This window comes from Homo sapiens, chromosome 11, assembly GCF_000001405.40.
Source record: "Homo sapiens chromosome 11, GRCh38.p14 Primary Assembly".
In the NCBI taxonomy this organism is placed as follows: Eukaryota; Metazoa; Chordata; class Mammalia; order Primates; family Hominidae; genus Homo; species Homo sapiens.
This window is the reverse complement of record NC_000011.10, coordinates 35,760,690-35,781,348: the sequence shown is the minus strand read 5'-3', so window position 1 is coordinate 35,781,348 and position 20,659 is coordinate 35,760,690. Positions and strand designations below refer to the sequence as shown.

Below are 20,659 nucleotides of genomic sequence, written 5' to 3'. Positions count from 1 at the left end.
TGCCAAAATACCTAGAAAAATAATAATGCCGAATAATACCATATCATTCAGATTATAAATCAGAAACATGCTTCACTGTTATGCACATTACATTAAAAAAAAAGGCTAAAACGTGAAGTGGTCTGATGGGGTCTGAACTCCCTGCTCCTTTGCCTATAACATTCCCCATGTTCATTTTTGCTTGGATGGCTCCTTTGTTCTGTCAGGTTTCAGCTCAAAAGTGACCTCCTTGGCCCTTTGAACACTTTCCACATTGTAGCTATAGTAGCTTCTTCTCCCCAGTCCCTTTCTACCAAATCACTGTTTCACTTGCTTTCTCACATGACTATCAAAAATTATTTTCTTCATTTAGTGGTTTATTAGTTTTTTTGTCTAGCTCTTCCCACTAGAGTTAAATTCCACCACAGAAGGGATCTCATCTGATTTGTTCACCCTGTATCCTCAGCACCAAGAGCTGTGCCTGGCATAATGTAGGTGCTTAATAAATAGAGTTGAAAATGAATAAAAAGAAAGAAGGCAGCATGTGTTCACTGAGTCGATCCATTTTGATTGCCTTAAGTTTCCTTTTCAGACTGAGGGTGGGGGTGGGGCTGATGGGTACTATGTATTTAATATGTGTAGGGGTGATGGGGATGGCTTTGAGATGCTATGTGGAATTGTAGAAAGAGTCCTGATCTTGCCACTTACAACATGTATGAATATTGGCACATATTCCTTTATCTCTCTGAGATTCGGTTTGTCATCTGTTTAGTGAATTTTCTCAGAGGATCAGTGTTACAATTAAATGAGACCGTGATAGCATACAATATCTGTTAGTTCCCCTCTGCCTGTCCTTAAGGCTCTAAAAAGCAATGTAGAATCCCTAAGAAAGTGGCCAATGCTTCTAGCAGTCACCTTAGCAACTGTTAAAATTCTTCAGGGAGATAATCTCAAGCTGCTGTATAAGGGAGTCTAGCCTACAGCCAATTCTGAAGTCCTGAGTACATTCTCAAAACACTAAGCATGAGTCTACCTTGCAAGGACATTAGAGATTTATTCTTCTCTTCTTAACCTTACATCAACTTATATTAAACTGGGGCTGATGTTATCCCACAGAGGTAGGCTTATAAATCTATTTTAAATAACTCTGGGTGCTGATTCTGCCACATGTACTTCCTCTGGTCTCATCCTGCAAGGTATTCAAAGCCATCAAAAATAATCTGTGGTCCTCAGAATTTAAAAAAAAACTATTCTAAAATTAGTATATAACCAAAAAGGAGCCCAGATAGCTAAAGCAATCCTAAGCAAAAAGAACAAAGCTGGAGGCATCATATTACCTGACTTCAAACTATACTATAAGGCTATAGTAACCAAAACAGTATGGTAATGATACTGAAACAGACATACCGATCAATGGAACAGAATAGAGAACCCAGAAATAAAGCTGCACACCTATAGCCATCTGATCTTTGACAAAGTAAAAAAAAAAAAAAAAATAGGCAAAGGGGAAAGATCTCCCTATTCAATAAATGGTGTTGGGATAGCTCACTAGCCATATACAGAAGAATGAAATTGGATACCTACCTTTTACCATATACAAAAAAAAACTCAGATTAAAGATTTAAACACAAGACCCCAAACTCTAAGACTCCTAGAAAAATGCCTAGGAAACACCATCCTGGACATCGGTCTTGGCAAAGAATTAATGACTAAGCCCTCAAAAGCAATTGCAACAAGAATGAGAAGTGGGATCTATTAATAATTAAACTAAAGAGCTTTTGGACAGATAAGATGGGAGAGGAGGGGATGGCTGAATAGGAACAGCTCCAGTCTACAGCTCCCAGCGTGAGCAATAGAAGACGGGTGATTTCTGCATTTCCAACTGAGGTACCAGGTTCATCTCACTGGGGCTTGTCGGACAGTGGGTGCAGCTCACGGAGTGTGAGCTGAAGCAGGGTGGGGCATTGCCTCACCCAGGGAGCACAAGGGGTCAGGGAATTCCCTTTCCTAGCCAAGGGAAGACATGACAGATGGTACCTGGAAAATCGGGACACTTGCACCCTAATACTGCGCTTTTCCAACGGTCTTAGCAAATGGCACACCAGGAGATAATATCCCGTGCCTGGCTCAGAGGGTCCCATGCCCACAGAGCCTCGCTCACTGCTAGCAAGCACAGCAGTCAGAGATCGAATTGCAAGGTGGCAGCAAGGCTGGGGGAGGGCATCCACTTGCTGAGGCTTGAGTGGCAAACAAAGCAGCTGGGAAGCTCGAACTGGGTAGAGCCCACTGCAGCTCAAGGAGGCCTGCCTGCCTCTGTAGACTCCACCTCTGGGGGCAGGGCATAGCTGAACAAAAGGCAGCAGAAACAAGCAGACTTAAGTGTCCCTGTCTGACAGCTTTGAAGAGAGTAGTGGTTCTCCCACAACGGCGTTTGAGATCTGAGAATGGACAGACTGCCTCCTCAAGTGGGTCTCTGACCCCTGAGCAGCCTAACTGGTAGAGAACTCCCAATAGGGGGCTGACCGACACCTCATACAGCCAGGTGCCCCTCTGAGATGAAGCTTCCAAAGGAAGGATCAGGCAGCAACATTTGCCATTCTGCAGCCTCCACTGGTGATACCCAGGCAAACAGGGACTGGAGTGGACCTCCAGCAAATTCCAACAGACCTGCAGCTGAGGGTCCTGACTGTTAGAAGGAGAACTAACAAACAGAAAGGACATCCACAACAAAACCCCATCTGTACGTCACCATCATCAAAGACTACAGGTAGATAAAACCACAAAGATGGGGAGAAACCAGAGCAGAAAATCGAAAAATTCTAAAAATTAGAGCACCTCTTCTCCTCTAAAGGAACGCAGCTACTTGCCAGCAACAGAACAAAGCTGGATGGAGAATGACTTTGACGACTTGAGAGAAGAAGGCTTCAGACGATTGGTAATAACAAACTTCTCTGAGCTAAAGGAGGATGTTTGAACCCATCGCAAAGAAGCTAAAAACCTTGAAACAAGGTTAGATGAATGACTAACTGAATAAATAGTGTAGAGAACACCTTAAATGACCTGATGGAGCTGAAAACCACGGCACGAAAACTACGTGACAAATGCACCAGGTTCAGTAGCTGATTTGATCAAGTGGAAGAAAGGGTATCAGTGATCGAGGATGAAATGAATGAAATGAAGCCAGAAGAGAAGTTTAGAGAAAAAAGAGTAAAAAGAAACGAACAAAGCCTCCAAGAAATATGGGACTATGTGAAAAGACCAAATCTACATCTGATTGGTGTACCTCAAAGTGATGGGGAGAATGGAACCAAGTTGGAAAACACTCTTCAGGATTTTATCCAGGAGAACTTCCCCAGCCTAGCAAGGCAGGCCAACATTCAAACTCAGGAAATACAGAGAATGCCACAAAGATACTCCTTGAGAACAGCAACTCCAAGACACATAATTGTCAGACTCACCAAAGCTGAAATGAAGGAAAAAATGTTAAGGGCAGCCAGAGAGAAAGGTCGGGTTACCCACAAAGGGAAGCCCATCAGACTAACAGTGGATCTCTGGGCAGAAACCCTACAAGCCAGAAGAGAGTGGGGGCCAATATTCAAAATTCTAAAAGAAAAGAATTTTCAACCCAGAATTTCATATCCAGCCAAACTAAGCTTCATAAGTGAAGGAGAAATAAAATCCTTTACAGAGAAGCAAATGCTGAGAGATTTTGTCACCACCAGGCCTGCCTTACAAGAGCTCCTGAAGGAAGCATTAAACATGGAAAGGAACAACCTATGGTACCAGCCACTGCAAAAACATGCCAAATTGTAAAGACCATCGATGCTAGGAAGAAATGCATCAACTAACGAGCAAAATAACCAGCTAACATCATAATGACAGGATCAAATTCACACATAACAATATTAACCTTAAATGTAAATGGGCTAAATGTTCCAATTAAAAGACACAGACTGGCAAACTGGATAGAGTCAAGACCCATCAGTGTGCTGTATTCAGGAGACCCATCTCACATGCAGAGACACACATAGGCTCAAAATAAAGGGATGGAGGAAGATCTACTAAGCAAACGGAAAACAAAAAAAAGCAGGGGTTGCAATCCTAGTCTCTGATAAAACAGACTTTAAACCAACAAAGATCAAAAGAGACAAAGAAGGCCACTACATAATGGTAAAGGGATCAATTCAACAAGAAGAGCTAACTATCCCAAATATATATGCACCCAATACAGGAGCACCCAGATTCATAAAGCAAGTCCTTAGAGACCTACAAAGAGACTTAGACTCCCTCACAATAATAATGGGAGACTTTAACACCCCACTGTCAACATTAGACAGATCAACGAGACAGAAGGTTAACAAGGATATCCAGGACTTGAACTCAGCTCTGCACCAAGCAGACCTAATAGATATCTACAGAACTCTCCACCCCAAATCAACAGAATATACATTCTTCTCAGCACCACATCGCACTTATTCCAAAATTGACCACATAGGTGGAAGTAAAGCATTCCTCAGCAAATGTAAAAGAACAGAAATTGTAACAAACTGTCTCTCAGACCACAGTGCAATCAAACTAGAACTCAGGATTAAGAAACTCACTCAAAACCACTCAACTATATGGAAACTGAACAACCTGCTCCTGAATGACTACTGGGTGCACAACGAAATGAAGGCAGAAAGCTGTTCTTTGAAACCAATGAGAACAAAGACACAACATACCAGAATCTCTGGGACACATTTAAAGCAGTGTGTAGAGGGAAATTTATAGCACTAAATGCCCACAAGAGAAAGCAGGAAAGATCTAAAATTGACACCCTAACATCACAATTAAAAGAAGTAAAGAAGCAAGAGCAAGCACATTCAAAAGCTAGCAGAAGGCAAGAAATAACTAAGATCAGAACAGAACTGAAGGAGATAGAGACACAAAAAACCCTTCAAAAAAATCAATGAATCCAGGAGCTGGTTTTTTGAAAACATCAACAAAATTGATAGACCGCTAGAAAGACTAATACAGAAGAAAACAGAAGAATCAAATAGACACAATAAAAAATGATGAAGAGGATATCACCACTGATCCCACAGAAATACAAACTACCATCAGAGAATACTATAAACAACTCCACGCAAATAACTAGAAAATCTAGAAGAAATGCATAAATTCCTGGACACATACACCCTCCCAAGACTAGAAGTTGAATCCCTGAATAGACCAATAACAGGCTCTGAAATTGAGGCAATAATTAAGAGCCTACCAACCAAAAAAAGTCCAGGACCAGATGGATTAACAACCAAAATCTACCAGAGGTACAAAGGGGAGCTGTACCAGTCCTTCTGAAACTATTCCAATCAATAAAAAGAGAGGGAATCCTCTCTAACTCATTTTATGAGGCCAGCATCATCCTGATACCAAAGCCTGGCAGAGACACAACAAAAAAAGAGAATTTTAGACCAATATCCTTGATGAACATCGATGCAAAAATCCTCAATAAAATACTGGCAAACCGAATCCAGCAGCACATCAAAAAGCTTATCCACCATGATCAAGTGGGCTTCATCCCTGGGATGTGAGGCTGGTTCAACATACGCAAATCAATAAACATAATCCAGCATATAAACAGCACCAAAGACAAAAACCAAATGATTATCTCAATAGATGCAGAAAAGGCCTTTGACAAAATTCAACAGCACTTTATGCTAAAAACTCTCCATAAACTAGGTACTGATGGGATGTATCTCAAAATGGTAAGAGCTATTTATCACAAACCCACAGCCAATATCATACTGAATGGGCAAAAACTGGAAGCATTCCCTTCGAAAACTGGCACAAGACAGGGATGCCCTCTCTCACCACTCCTATTCAACATAGTGCTGGAAGTTCTGGCCAGGGCAATTAGGCAGGAGAAAGAAATAAAGAGTATTCAATTAGCAAAAGAGGAAGTCAAATTGTCCCTGTTTGCAGATAATATGATTGTATATTTAGAAAATCCCATTGTTTCAGCCCAAAATCTCCTTAAGCTGATAAGCAACTTCAGCAAAGTCTCAGGATACAAAATCAATGTGTAAAAATCACAAGCATCCCTATACACCAATAACAGACAAACAGAGAGCCAAATCATGAGTGAACTCCCATTCACAATTGCTTCAAAGAGAATAAAATACCTAGGAATCCAACTTACAAGGGATGTGAGGGACCTCTTCAAGGAGAACTACAAACCACTGCTCAATGAAATAAAAGAGGACACAAACAAATGGAAGAACATTCCATGCTCATGCATAGGAAGAATCAATATCATGAAAATGGCCATACTGCCCAAGGTAATTTATAGATTCAATGCCATCCCCAATCAAGCTACCAATGACTTTCTTCACAGAAGTGGAAAAAACTACTTTAAAGTTCATATGGAACCAAAAAAGAGCCCACATTGCCAAGACAATCCTAAGCCAAAAGAACGAAGATGGAGGCATCACGCTACCTGACTTCAAACTATACTACAAAGCTCCAGTAAGCAAAACAGCATGGTACTGGTACCAAAACAGAGATATAGACCAATGGAACAGAACAGAACCCTAAGAAATAATACCACACATCTACAACCATCTGATCTTTGACAACCCTGACAAAAACAAGCAATGGGGAAAGGATTCCCTATTTAATAAATGGTGCTGGGAAAACTAGCTAGCCATATGTAGGAAGCTGAAGCTGGATCCCTTCCTTACACCTTATACAAAAATTAATTCAAGATGGATTAAAGACTTACATGTTAGACCTAAAACCAAAAAACCCTAGAAGAAAACCTAGGTAATACCATTCAGGACATAGGCAGGGGCAAGGACTTCATGATTAAAACACCAAAAGCAATGGCAACAAAAGCCAAAATTGACAAATGGGATCTAACTAAACTAAAGAGCTTCTGCACAGCAAAAGAAACTACCATCAGAGTGAACAGGCAACCTACAGAATGGGAGAAAATTTTTACAATCTACCCATCTGACAAGGTGCTAATATCTAGAATCTACAAAGAAGTTAAACAAATTTACAAGAAAAAAATCAACCCCATCAAAAAGTGGGTGAAGGATATGACAGACACTTTTCAGAAGAAGACATTTATGCAGCCAACAGACACGTGAAAAAATGCTCATCATCACCGGCTATGAGAGAAATGCAAATCAAATCTACAATGAGATACCATCTCACACCAGTTAGAATGGCAATTATTAAAAAGTCAGGAAACAACACGTGCTGGAGAGGATGTGGAGAAATAGGAACACTTTTACACTGTTGGTGGGACTGTAAACTAGTTCAACCATTGTGGAAGACAGTTTGGCGATTCCTCAAGGATTTAGAACTAGAAATACCATTTGACCCAGCCATCCCATTACTGGGTATATACCCAAAGGATTATAAATCATGCTGCCATAAAGACACATGCACGCATATGTTTATTGTGGCACTATTCACAATAGCAAAGACTTGGAACCAACCCAAATGTCCATCAATGATAGACTGAATAAAGAAAATGTGGCACATATACACCACGGGATACTATGCAGCCATAAAAAAGGATGAGTTCTTGTCCTTTGTAGGGACATGGATGAAGCTGGAAACCATCATTCTGAGCAAACTATCGCAAGGACAGAAAACCAAACACCGCACGTTCTCACTCATAGGTAGGAACTGAACAATGAGAATGCTTGGACACAGGGTGGGGAACACCACACACCGGGGCCTGTTGTGGGGTAGGGGGAGAGGGGAGGGATAGCACTGGGAGATATATCTAATGTAAATGACGAGTTAATGGGTGCAGCACACCAACATGGCACATGTATATATATGTAACAAACCTGTACCTTATGCACATGTACCCTAGAACTTAAAGTATAATAATTAAAAAAGAGCTTCTGTACAGCAAAATAAACTATCCACCGAGTAAACAGCCTGCAAAGTGGGAGAAAATATTTGCAAACTATGCATCTGACAAAGGTCTAACATCTGGAATCGATAACAAACTTGAACAATTCAACAAGCAAAGAACAAGTAACTCCATGAAAAAGTGGGCCAAAGACATGAATAGATACTTCTTTAAAAAAAAGGCACCTGTATTAGTCTGTTTTGACACTGCTGACAAAGACATAACCGAGACTGGCAAGAAAAAGAGGTTTAATTGGACTTAACAGTTCCACATGGCTGGGGAGGCCTCAGAATCATGGCGGGAGGCAATGGCACTTCTTACATGGTGGTAGCAAGAGAAAATGAGGAAGATGCCAAAGCGGAAACCCCTGATAAAACCATCAGATCTTGTGAGCCTTATTCACGACCATGAGAATAGCATGGGGGAAACCACCTCCATGATTCAAATTATCTCCCACCAGGTCCCTCCCACAACACATGGGATTATGCGAGTAAAATTCAAGATGAGATTTGCATGGGGACACAGAGCCAAACCATCTTTCTGCCCTTGTCCCCTTTAAATCTCAAGTCCTCACATTTCAAAACCAATCATGCCTTCCCAACAGTCCCCCAAAGTCTTAACTTATTTCAGCATTAACGCAGAAGTCCACAGTCCAAAGTCTTATCTGAGACAAGACAAGTCCCTTCCACCTATGAGCCTGTAAAATCAAAAGCAATTTAGTTACTTCCTAGATACAATGGGGGTACAGGCACACTGAGTTCTACCTGTGTGACATGGGTAAATACAGCCATTCCAAATGGGGGAAATTGGCCAAAACAAAGGGGCTACCAGCCCCATGAAAGTCTGAAATCCAGCAGGGCAGTCAAATCTTAAAGCTCCAAAATGATGTCCTTTGATGCCATGTCTCAAATCTGGGTCATGCTGATGCAAGAGGTGGGTTCCCATGGTCTTGGGCAGCTCTGCCCTTGTGGCTTTGCAGGGTATAGCCTCCCTACCAGCTGCCTTCATGGGCTGCCATTGAGTGTCTGTGACTTTTCCAAGTGCATGGTGCAAGCTGTCGGTGATCTACCATTCTGGGGTCTGGAGGATGGTGGCCCTCTTCTCACAGCTCCACTAGGCAGTGCCCCAGTAGGGACTCTGTGTAGGGGCTCCAACCCCACATTTCTCTTCTGCACTGCCTAGCAGAGGTTCTCCATGAGTACCCCGCCCCTGCAGCAAACTTATGCCTGGGCATCCAGGCATTTCAATACATCTTCTGAAATCTAGGTGGAGGTTCTCAAACTTTAGTTCTTGACTTCTGTGCACTCACAGGCTCAACACCATGTGGCAGCTGTCAAGGCTTGCGGCTTACACCCTCTGAAGCCAAGGCCCGAGCTCTACGTTGGCCCCTTTCAGCCATGGCTGGAGTGGCTGGGGCACAGGGCACCAAGTTCCTAGGCTGCACACAGCACAGGGACACTGGGCTGACCAAGGAAACCATGTTCTCCTAGACCTCTGGGCCTGTGATGGGAGGCCCTGCTGTGAAGACCTCTGACAAGCCTTGGAGATATTTTCCCCATTGTCCTGGGGATTAACATTCGGCTCCCCTTATGCAAATTTATGCAGACGGCTTGAATTTCTCCTCAGAAAAATGGGTTTTTCTTTTCTATCACATTGTGAGGCTGCAAATTTTCCAAACTTTCATGTTCTGTTTGCCTTTTAAAACTAAATGCTTTTTTTTTTTTTTCTTTTTTGAGACAGAGTCTCGCTCTCTCACCCTGGCTGGAGAGCAGTGGCATGATCTTGGCTCACTGCAACCTCTGTCTCCCACCTTCAAGCGATTCTCTTGCTTCAGCCTCCCAAGTAGCTGAGATTACAGGCATCTGACAACAAGCCCAGCTAATTTTTGTATTTTTAGTAGAGACGGGGGTTTCACTATGTTGGCCAGGCTAGTCTCCAACTCCTGACCTCATAATCCGCCCACCTTGGCCTCCCAAAGTGCCGGGATTACAGGCATGAGCCACCGTGCGCATCCAAAACTAAATGCTTTTAATGGCACCCAAGTCACCTTTTGAACACTTTGCTGCTTAGAAATTTTTTTCCACTAGATACCCTAAATCATCTCTCTCAAGTTCAAAGTTCCAAAAATTTCTAGGGCAGGGGCAAAATGCCACCAGTCTTTTTGCGAAAACATAACAAGAGTCACCTTTGCGCCAGTTTCCAACAACTTCCTCATCTCCATATGAGACCACCTCAGTCTGGACCTTATTGTTCATATCACTATCAGCATTTTTGTCAAAGCCATTCAACAACTCTCTAGGAAGTTCCAAACTTTCCCACATTTCCCTGTCTTCTTGTGAGCCCTCCAAACTGTTCCAACCTCTGCTTGTTACCCAGTTCCAAAGTCGCTTCCACATTTTCAGGTATCTTTTCAGCAACGCCCCGCTCTATTGGTACCAATTTACTCTATTAGTCCATTTTCACGCTGCTGATAAAGACATAACTGAGACTGGGAAGAAAAAAGAGAGTTAATTGGGCTTAGCGTTCCACATGGCTGGGGAGGCCTCAGATTCACGGCAGGAGGCAAAAGGTACCTCTTACACGGTGGTGGCAAGAGAAAATGAGATGAAAGATCTCGTGAGACTTATTCGCTACCACAAGAACAGTATGGGGGAAACTGCCCCCATAATTCAAATTATCTCCCACTGGGTCCCTCCTACAACACATGGTAATTATGGGAATAGAATTCAAGATGAGATTTGGGTGGGGACACAGAGCTAAACCATATCAACATCCAAGCGGCCAACAAACATATGGAAAAATGTTCAACATTACTAATCCTCAGAGAAATGCAAGTCAAAACCACAATGAGATACCATCTCACACCAGTCAGAATTGCTATTATTAAAAGGTCAAAAAACAACAGATGCTGGTGAGGCTATGGAGAAAAGGAAATGTTTATACACAGTTGATGGGAATGTAAATTAGTTTAGCCACTGTGGAAAGCAGTTAAAGAGCTTAAAACAGAATTATTATTCAACCCAGCAATCCCATTACTGGGTATATATCCAATACAAAATAAATCATTCTACCAAAAAGTTACATGCGCTCTTAGTTCATCACAGCACTATTCCCAATAGCAAAGACATGGAATCAACCTTGTGTGCCCATCAGCAGTGCACTGGATAAAGCAAATATGATACAAAGACACCATGGAATACTATGTAGTCATAAAAAGAACAAAACCATGTCCTTTGCAGCAGTATGGATACAGCTGAAGGTCATTATCCTAAGTGAATTAACACAGGAACAAAAACCAAATACTGCATATTCTCATTTGTAAGTGGGAGCTGAATACTGGGTACACACAGACATAAAGATGGCAATAATAGACACTAGGGACTACTAGACGGGGAAGGGAGTGGGGCAAGGGTTGAAAAACTATTAGGTACTACACTCACTACCTGGGTGATAGGATCAATTGTACCCCATACCTCAGCATCATGCAATATATTAATGTAACAAATGAAGCAAGTGTACCTCTTGAACCTAAAATAAAAGTTGAAATTATAAAAAAAATAAATAAATTCATAGTCCTTAGGCCTGCTGGAGACACTTTTGGTGACATCATCCATTGCAGTTATTTGTCTGAATACATCTAATTCCTTACACTCAATTTGTTCAATTTATTTGTTAATTCAACAAGCATCAATTGAGAGCCAACTGTATGTCCAGCCCTAGTAATAAGAGTTACCAGGTATTTGGCAGTTATTAAATGTTATGGATTGGAACTAAGCCCCTTATAATCACTGGGTCATTCAAACCTCACTGTATCCCATAAGTACTATTAATTATCCCCCTTTTAAAGACAAGAAAACAGAAGCTGAAGAGTTTACATAAACTACATCAGTACTCTAACCTAGGTCTTTCTGATACCAAATCCCATGCTGTTAATCTCCACATTCTAATAAGTCCTGAACATGCACATCAGAATGCTGGATGCTTTGTAAATTAAAAAGAAACAAGGCTAGACTGTGACCTCCCTCAGGGTGCGAGCACCATAAGACTCCTCTGCATTTCCAGCCCCCAAAACAATGCCAACTGTGAACTGATGAGAATGTGGCTCTTGTCAAACAGACCTATTTACATGAAAGACATAAAATAACAACATAAGAAAAAAGTCCCAAGACACAAAGCTGTACAGAGTACAAAAGATGTGAGTGATCACAGACGGAAAATGGGTTTTACTCCATAGCCAAACAAGATGATGAGGAGTCTGAGCTAGCCCAGGAATCACAGACTCACATGCTTACTGAGCCTGACAGGTAATATACATCAATGAACTGGGTCAGGTGGAGGCTGTGGGAAACTGGAAAAAGCACGTGGTTCATCTAAGTAACAACCCGGTTCCAGCTGGTTATTGTCATGGACAAATGTGGATCCACTAATGCCAGAACTTTTGAATTTTGAAAAGAAGCTTAAACATCTGCTTTTTGATGTGACATTTTCTAATTTTTAAATGTTTGTCAGGAATTTATAAATTAAAAAACACCACCATTTTATTAGCCAAACAAAATGCATCTTTAGGCCAGAATTGGCTGATGACCCATCAATTTGCAGTCTTCAAATCTGACTATATTTCATATATTTTTTACCATCAAGAACACCCATTTACCCTCCCCATGAGCTTCAGAATCTGAAAGACTTTGTCTAACCAAAAGCATTTTTGAGTGTTTAATTAGTTTTATTACATACATCAATAACTGACAAACTAGGTCACCATGGGAGAAAAACAGTTAACTGTAAGCAAAGAAACATGCCATTTTTGTTACCAAGTATAAACTTGTTGCAACTAAATATAAGATTTTCCATTAAAGTTTTTGAAATAATGAAAATGGCACATAGAATTCATTTCTATCTTCAGGGATCCCCTTGAATCCTTCAGGGATCCAAGGGCCATGATTAGAAATTACTGCACTAAGCAAGTGGGCTATGAGATCTGGTAGCCGTGAGGCATATTGGGAAAAATGTGGAATTTGGAAACAGACAGAACTGGGTTGAGTGCGAACCCTCAACTTCTAGCTGTGTGACCTTCAACTAGCTGTGTGACCTTCAACAAATTATTTAGCTTCTTTTACTTATTTTCAAAGTGAGAATAATCCCACCTACCTTGTACAGCTACCATGAACAGTAAATTAAATTAAGTATGCAAGCTACTTTGCATGGTACCTGCCACATAGCAGGGGATTAAATAATAAAACTTTCTTAAATTCAATTCTACAGTCTACACTCAAAGTTTGAATCCAAGTTAAACATTCTCTTTGGGCTACCCACAATCAAATCATTGAGTTTTAAATCCCCATTCCCCGTCTAAGTTTCCTTTAGGCCTTTAGTCCGCTATGCCTTGGGCAGTGCTCTCTTTCCCCAAAGGTCCCTCTATGTGATTCAGTGAATGTTATAACTGCAACAGAGGGCTGTGAGCAGCCTTACAAACTAACCGTGGTTTTAGAAAGAAGTCCCCCTAACCTTCTGATTAAAATTTCCACTGCAGCTGCCACTTGGGGCCAAGGACCATCAGGGGCCTACATAGTTACCACTATAGGCACCATTTAGTGAGCATCTATGTGCTAGGCCCTGTCCTAGGGGATCACATATCTGCACTATTATCTGCATTGCATGGATGAAACATCTGAAAAGTTCACAGAGGTTAAGTAATTTCCCAAGGTCATATCCACTAAAAAATAGTTAATGTGGGATTTGATTTTTGAATTCGTGTCTGTATAACTTCAAAGCCCATGGTCCTTCCATTACATCAAGTTGCCTCTCTTCAAATAATACATCTGAAGTGGTAAACATATATATGTATATATATATACAACTTTTTTTCCCACAGAGAAAGAACATTATTCTCATAATATTTCCTCATTATCCCACCACAGCACAGAGACATAATACAACCACAGAAAAGACAAAGAAAAAGAGCTGGCAGCACCTCCAACCTCCCCTCTCCTTAATTCTCCATCCTGGAACAGAGTAGTAGTACTGAGGATTATCTATTGCATACCTAACCTGTGACTGACAGAGGAGGGCCAGGTAAGGTGATCTTGTATGTTCACAAGTTTGGTCTTTTCTTTGTTCTTATCCACACCAAGTAAAGATGATCCTCAGTTAAATCACATTTGTGGTCCATGTTTTTCTTTCACCATCACCATCTAACTAAAAGAAGCACCCCGATAACAGCCCATTTAATACCACTATAATGATTAAAATAATTTCAGCTAAAAAATGAAAGGTCCTCTATCATGCCTGGAGGCCATACTGACACACACACATTGATGTAGGAGCATGCACCCATTTGTTTCCATTACGTCTTTCATTCAAGGAACTTCACATGCTTGATGACAGTCTGAGAGCCAGAGCACCAGAAACGTGTTGTTTACGAATCTTGCCTAAAACCATGACTTGACTTGGATGAGCAGATATCAGAGAATCTATTCCTTAGTACTTCATGCTAAATGTCAGACAAGCCAAAAATCAACCTTTGTTTCCATCTCTAACATAATTTGTTAATAATTGAACTCATTTGCACAGTGCTTTACTATTCACAAAGTCATTCCACACACATTTATCATGTGCCCCTTGTAAGTATCCAGGGAGGCTGGTGAGGCACAAGTCAACCTCATTTTTTGAATCAGGGAAGAGAGGTTCTAAGATGTTGGAGCTTATTCATGGTCACTGAATTAGTAAGAGATGGAACTAATAAATCCAGTGACTCCAAATTCTTGGTTTTTCTCATATATCCCGGCCTGCCGAGGCCAAAGCAAGTGAGAAACAGGGGTAAGAACTATGTGCTGGATGAATAATCACTACTCAGTTTATCTGCAAAATGCTACACATGGAAGAAGTAGAATTTGTTTTGGAATGGACACTGAATGTGGGCATGTAGGAGCACTCTGTTGTCCAACTATGAAAAACTTTCGTTAAGAAAATCTCAACTGTCATCTTAGATTGTACGCTGGTTTGTCTCTCTAGGGAAATAAAGCAGAGTATCATTCAATTCTGCCTACCTTTCCCAATTTACCCTTCTGCTCTACCCTGGCCTTGGGGAGGAGAAGCCCTATATAACCAGATAAATTCCCAACCCCAACACACGCATACTTTTTTACTGTAGCTGACTGGACTAGGTATGCCCACCTAACTCAAGCAGCTAATTAACGGACAGATGAATTGGCTGGGTTTTCTTTTGAGACAGTGTTAAGATAAGGGTAAATGTGCATCAGAGAACTGCAGGGCATGGGCCAAAGTGATGCCAGTGCAAGCTGAAATTACATAGGAAGAAGAGAGACACAAGTAAAAAGAGGAGGCTGTTCTGGAAGGTAGAGAGTGATGCAAAAAGGAGAAAGAGAAAAAGAGAAGAAAGAAGACTGTGAGAGTAATCTCTGGTTGTAAGCAATTCCTACTCCTGTCTCCACCAGGCACAGAAATACTTGCTTTTATTGGGTCTTATGAAATGTACCATATCCTTTCCTTACCACTCTGTGTTGATTGAACTAGTTTGGATGGATTTTGGTTTCTTACAATTAGTCTCCGACAAACACAGTAAGAAACAGGAGACATAGTTATACCAAAGAAGAACTGAAAGAATAGGGGATGGTTAAAAAGAAACTAAATTTTGTTCTATCAGATTGCACAGAAAGAGCAGGAGAGAATGAATAAACAAATGAATGAATGAGTGAAACATCAAGACTGAAAGGCTTCAAATTATGGCTGCCTCAGAATATGCCAAGTTTACTTCTTTTATACCCAAGCTTTGCCTAGAACCAGAAGGATAAATGCTGGCAAAACCCTCTCCTTGCAAAATAAAGCACAATGCTGACAAAGGACTTAAATAGTGAGGCAATGCACACTTTCCCCTTAACCATAGTTCTAAAATCTCCTTGTAACTAACAGAGCTTACCATTAGGATGTCCATTCTCTACCTGTCACCATTCAACTTACTGTTGTACAGTTCTTTTCAAGTCACTGGTCGGAATGAGTCAACATCTGTGAAATCTTCCTTGATTCCTAGGAAGAACTAGTCATATTTTACTCTGCTTCCCATAGCACTTAACACATTTCTCTATGTGGGTTCTCATACTGGTAGATTATAATTCTTTGTTCAGGAATTTCATTTCTCAACTGGGCTATGATGCCTTGAAAGCAAGGCCCCTGGCTTATTCTTTTTCTCTGTTGTGCCTCATACAGTATCTGGTATACATGTTTGTGGAATAAATCAAGGCCCATGAGCTCTGTCTCATGACAGAGGTCCTGAAAATAATTATTAAGATTTAAATTTTTTCTGTAACGAATCAACTGGGATTGCAACTATGCACACAAATGGCTTAGCCATTTCAACTGAGTTGGCCTCTCATTTTAGAAACAAACAAACAACAAAAAAAAGTCTTTCGATATCATGTCAGAATTTATTAAGTACTTTCCAGTTGAAAAGTTTTATTACAAAACACTATATGGGATATGGAATAGGGATGGGTATGAGAAGGAGGTTTTTTTTTAAAAAAATTAAGTACAACATTCATCTTCAGAGAGCTCATACTGCATAATAAATTTAATACTGAGAAGTCAAAGTAATCATTTAACTGAAAAGACCATCTGAAATGGTTAAAATGCCAGGATATAAAGCTGGACTGTTTCCTGGAAGCACAGTTTATGGGTCAAGCATATACTGGTTGATGGCCACTCAGCTTTGTAAACTACTTCCTACGATGCAAGGTGCAAACCGTCTTCCTCTTTGATAATTGTACTCTCCTACTGGCAAAGCTGGGAAAGAGGGATAGGAAACCATTAACAACTGTGATGTGATGCCGAACGGGTTCTGCCAAAGGTCATGGTGTCACTTATTTACTAGATTCTCCAATTTCAAACAGGAAGAGCAGAAACTAAGCAGCTAAACTGTGATCAAGGTACTACTTTTGCTAATGGAGACCCAACTAATAAAGTACAGTGCTGACTTACATGGACTGGTGTCAGAGGCTATAGCAGGTGTTTTCTGCCGCCTCTCCGACTAAATTAATGTTATCTAAATCCCAGGGGAAAAGTGACCTGAAAGAGAAGTTGAAAGAAAGACCTGTCTGGGTTTATCAGAGGCAATTCCATCCTAATCTGCTTACTGTAATGGTGAGCAGAAGGAAGGCCCACCCTGCCTGAACTAGGTGATCAAAGAAAGCAAAAGAAAAGGATAAGACCATGTTGTCTTTTTGGAGCAGGAGTTGTTAACACATTAACTCTGTACAACAAAGAGGGACCAAATGATTGCCAGACTCTAACCAATGAGACAAGTTGCTCCTCTTCCCATGAGAAGGAGCAAGCAAGAGATAAAAGAGAGGAAGAAGCATGCCCTTGAGAAGAAGAAAGAGTTGGCCAAAGTTTCTGATTCTGTGGATATGTGGGAATAGGGGAACATAAAGTTTCTCTCCAAACAGACCTCCTGGCTAACATCTGTGAAGATGTTATCATACTGCAAAATATGCTAATGGAAGCATATAAAGATGCCAAGATACCAAAGACACTGGAAAGGCGTTGTACACAAGGCTGCATTAGTTCCACGACCTCCAGGCCCTGTGTCTTCCCAAGGATCCCACCTTGGAGATGAAGAATAAATTCTATCTCCTTTCTGGATTCACAATCAAGCCAAGGAGAAAGCGAAGGCTACGAGCAAAGGCAAAAAGGAAAGGCACACAACCCAATAGAAGCAGACAAATGCAAAACTAGGTTTTTGTAACATCTTTCTCTCGAAATTAATTTAGCCTCCCAATAGCACCACTCCCAGTAGTGTGTGGTCTTCCAGAACAAAGACCTTGGAGTTTTAGAGCCAGAGGAATAGAGCTGGAAGGAACCTTAGGGACCACATCAAACTCAGGACTCTCATTTTATAAATGTTCAAAACTCAAGGCCAGAGAGGTTCAATGACTTGAGTTTACACAACTAAGTAAACTTAGTAGCACAGCTAATTTTGGAAGCTAGTGCTCTTAGTTTAGCTCCATCCTTCTCCCTTATTCCTCAAATACAGCCACTCACTAAGTCCTCTCCATTTCCCTGTATCCTTGTTCCCTCCACCTGTTCTCTTCTCTCCTTTGCTACTGTGCTTATCCAAGTCCAGAATGTCAAGATCTTTCATCTGAATCACTGCAATAATGTTCTAATCTAGTGGGCCTTCAGGACTCTCTTTCTCTCCATCTGAAATCACTTCTCACTCTGCCCCAACAGTGATTTTCTGCTCTACTAGGGTGGATTGCATGGTTTTCTATTGCCCTTTTCCCTTTGCCAGCATTTCCCACATAGGGGCTCACCTTTAGCTTTGGTCTTAGAATAAAGGAGAAGGGAGCAGAGCTAAAGCTGATCCAGAGTGGACATGTAGTATGTGAGAAAAACAAACATTTGTCGTTATTGCCACTGAGATTCCAAGGTCATCTGTGTATTCCACATACTTAAAATAGTGCCTTGCACAAAGAAGGCACTGAAATTTTTTTTAACTGAATGAATGGATCATCTTATTTAAGCCTAACAGCAAACTTACTTTAGATACTATTATCATCTCCATTTTGCAGATGAGAAAACTAAGGCCTAAGGAGTTTAAATAGTTAAACTCCTTAGTTTAAATAGTTTAAATAGTTAAATAGTAGGTCTAAAGTTATATAGCTAGCAGGTGGTAAAGCTGGAATTCAAACCCAGAACCTCTAACCCCAAAGCCAAAATTCTTTAACCATTGCATCACACTGATTCTGAGAATGCTTACAACTGCTTGAGTTTGATATATGTATTTGGTTCTTAATTATGTATTATCTTACTGTTGTCTGGTTATTTCACATATTATGATCTTGACTCTCCTACACCATTTCCCCATGGTTGTAAGCAACTTGGGGGCAAGGATTTCATCCTATCACAAGCCCAAGCACCTAGTCAAGGCTCAATAAAGACTTATTCCCTGACCGACTGTACCTGGCTCAAGGCAAGAGTTCACTCTTACTTCTAGTCCTCAAGGAGTCAGAACTCTGGAGTGAGCATTCTTCACCTTGACTCAGAGCTCCAGAGGCAAAGACTTAATTTTAAACAACTTTAAGTCTGACAGGGATATAACCTTTGAAGTAAAAGATCATTTCCTTCCTAGATGTGAGCCCTATCACTCAAAGACAGGAAGGAAAAAAAATGCCATCTAGAAAGATTGTTTTAAAAAAAGAAAGAGAAAATAGCCCTCAATTGGAAAAGCAGGAGTTAGCACAAAAAGTCTATTTATATTGGGGAATGTCCCAGGACAATAAATTTGCATTCACACCCTGCTTTTCCAGAGAGCAGCCTGCACGGTCACTGGCTCAGACAGTCCACTGTTCTCCAGTCTCATCATGTACAAGGTACACAAGCCTGAAGCTGAAAGGGCAGCCACTGCCATGAAAGCACCCTCTTAGCCTGTCACCTCCCAAGGAAAGGGAAAAGGGCACTGCTCAAATCTCTCCAGGTGCTCTTCTGCCATTGTATTCCTGAGAATACAGTTTACTCTCTCCAAGGCTCTCTCTGCTGCATCCTTGCCCTTCTCAGAAGGCTCAAAGAGCAAACAGGGAAGGTAAGTCACTTTAAACAAAAATAAATAACAGCCTTGAGGAATTAGATTTAAAGCCATCTTTAAGAGGAGACATGCATAGGAGAAGTTTTATTCATTTCAGTGCAAGTCTACAATAGTGATATGACTCTGCAGCCAGAAAGCTTTGGTTCAAATACTAGTCTACCATTTACTAGCTATGTGACCTTGGACAAATTATTTTATCTTTGAATGTTTAATTTTCCTCATTTGGAAAACAGAGATGACAATAGTATCTACTCTACCCCTATGAGGTTATTATAAGGATTAAATGGAATTATGACAGGTAACACCCTTAACAGTGTCTGTCACATAGTAGGCCCTCAATCAGTATTAGCTGTTACGGCTGTGATCATTATTATCTAAGGAATGGCCATGGGTTCATGAGTCCTAGTCAATCATTTTCCAAGTCTAGAACATGGCAAAGTATCACATATATATATAGAGAGAGAGAGAGAGAGCAAACAATACAACAGACCTGCTACAATAGACTTGTTATAGAGATAAAACTTGGGTACAGACTCTGCCATTCGGGAGCTTGAAGGCTGTTGGTATAATATAGCAGACAGATAATTATCAAATAGAGAAGTGGTAAGTCCAAAGATAAATTATACTTGCAATAGCCAAGATGTGGAATCAACTTAAGCAACCATCAATGGATGAATGAATAAATAAAATGTAGTATATATACACAATGGAATACTAGTTGGCCATAAAAAAAGGGAAATCCTGCCATTTGCAACAACACAGATGAACCTGAAGGACATTATATTAAGTGAAACAAGCCAGGCATGGAAAGACAAATAGTGTACAACCTTACTAATATGTGGAATCTAAAAAAGTTGATCTTACAGAAGTAGAGAGAAGAATGATAGTTACCAGAGGCTGGGGCAGTTGAGGGAGGGGTTAGGAAGATGTTGGCCAAAGGATATAAAATTACAGCTAGGTAGAAGGAATAAGTTTAATAGATCAATTGCACGGTGACTACACCATGGTGACTATAGATAAAATACTGTATTTCTGAAAAATGTTAAGAGAGGACATTAAGTGCTCTCACTATAAAAAATGATAATGTGAGATAATGCATGTTAACTAGCCAGATTTAACCATTCAGCTATGTATATGTACTTCAAAACACCATGTTGTACTATATAAATACA

General features: G+C 40.7%; 1 protein-coding gene across 2 annotated transcripts in view, besides 2 other annotated features; it reads right to left on the bottom strand.

The window, feature by feature from the left end:
• TRIM44 (tripartite motif containing 44) overlaps positions 1-20,659 on the bottom strand; it is a 155,233-nt gene that overhangs the window by 36,659 nt on the left and 97,915 nt on the right. The gene's annotated exons all lie outside the window — the stretch shown is intronic.
• Positions 9,291-9,798: an enhancer, noted in NCBI's record as "H3K4me1 hESC enhancer chr11:35793100-35793607 (GRCh37/hg19 assembly coordinates)". NCBI's record gives its function as "activates a minimal SCP1, AML or CMV promoter by ChIP-STARR-seq in naive H9 embryonic stem cells {active_cell/tissue: H9 hESC(naive)}" and the evidence as "EXISTENCE:reporter gene assay evidence [ECO:0000049][PMID:30033119]".
• Positions 13,658-13,827: an enhancer, noted in NCBI's record as "experimental_21295 CRE fragment used in MPRA reporter constructs". NCBI's record gives its function as "activates a minimal promoter by MPRAs in K562 erythroleukemia cells, with activity observed for the non-introgressed 11:35789156 variant allele {active_cell/tissue: K562}" and the evidence as "EXISTENCE:reporter gene assay evidence [ECO:0000049][PMID:34662402]".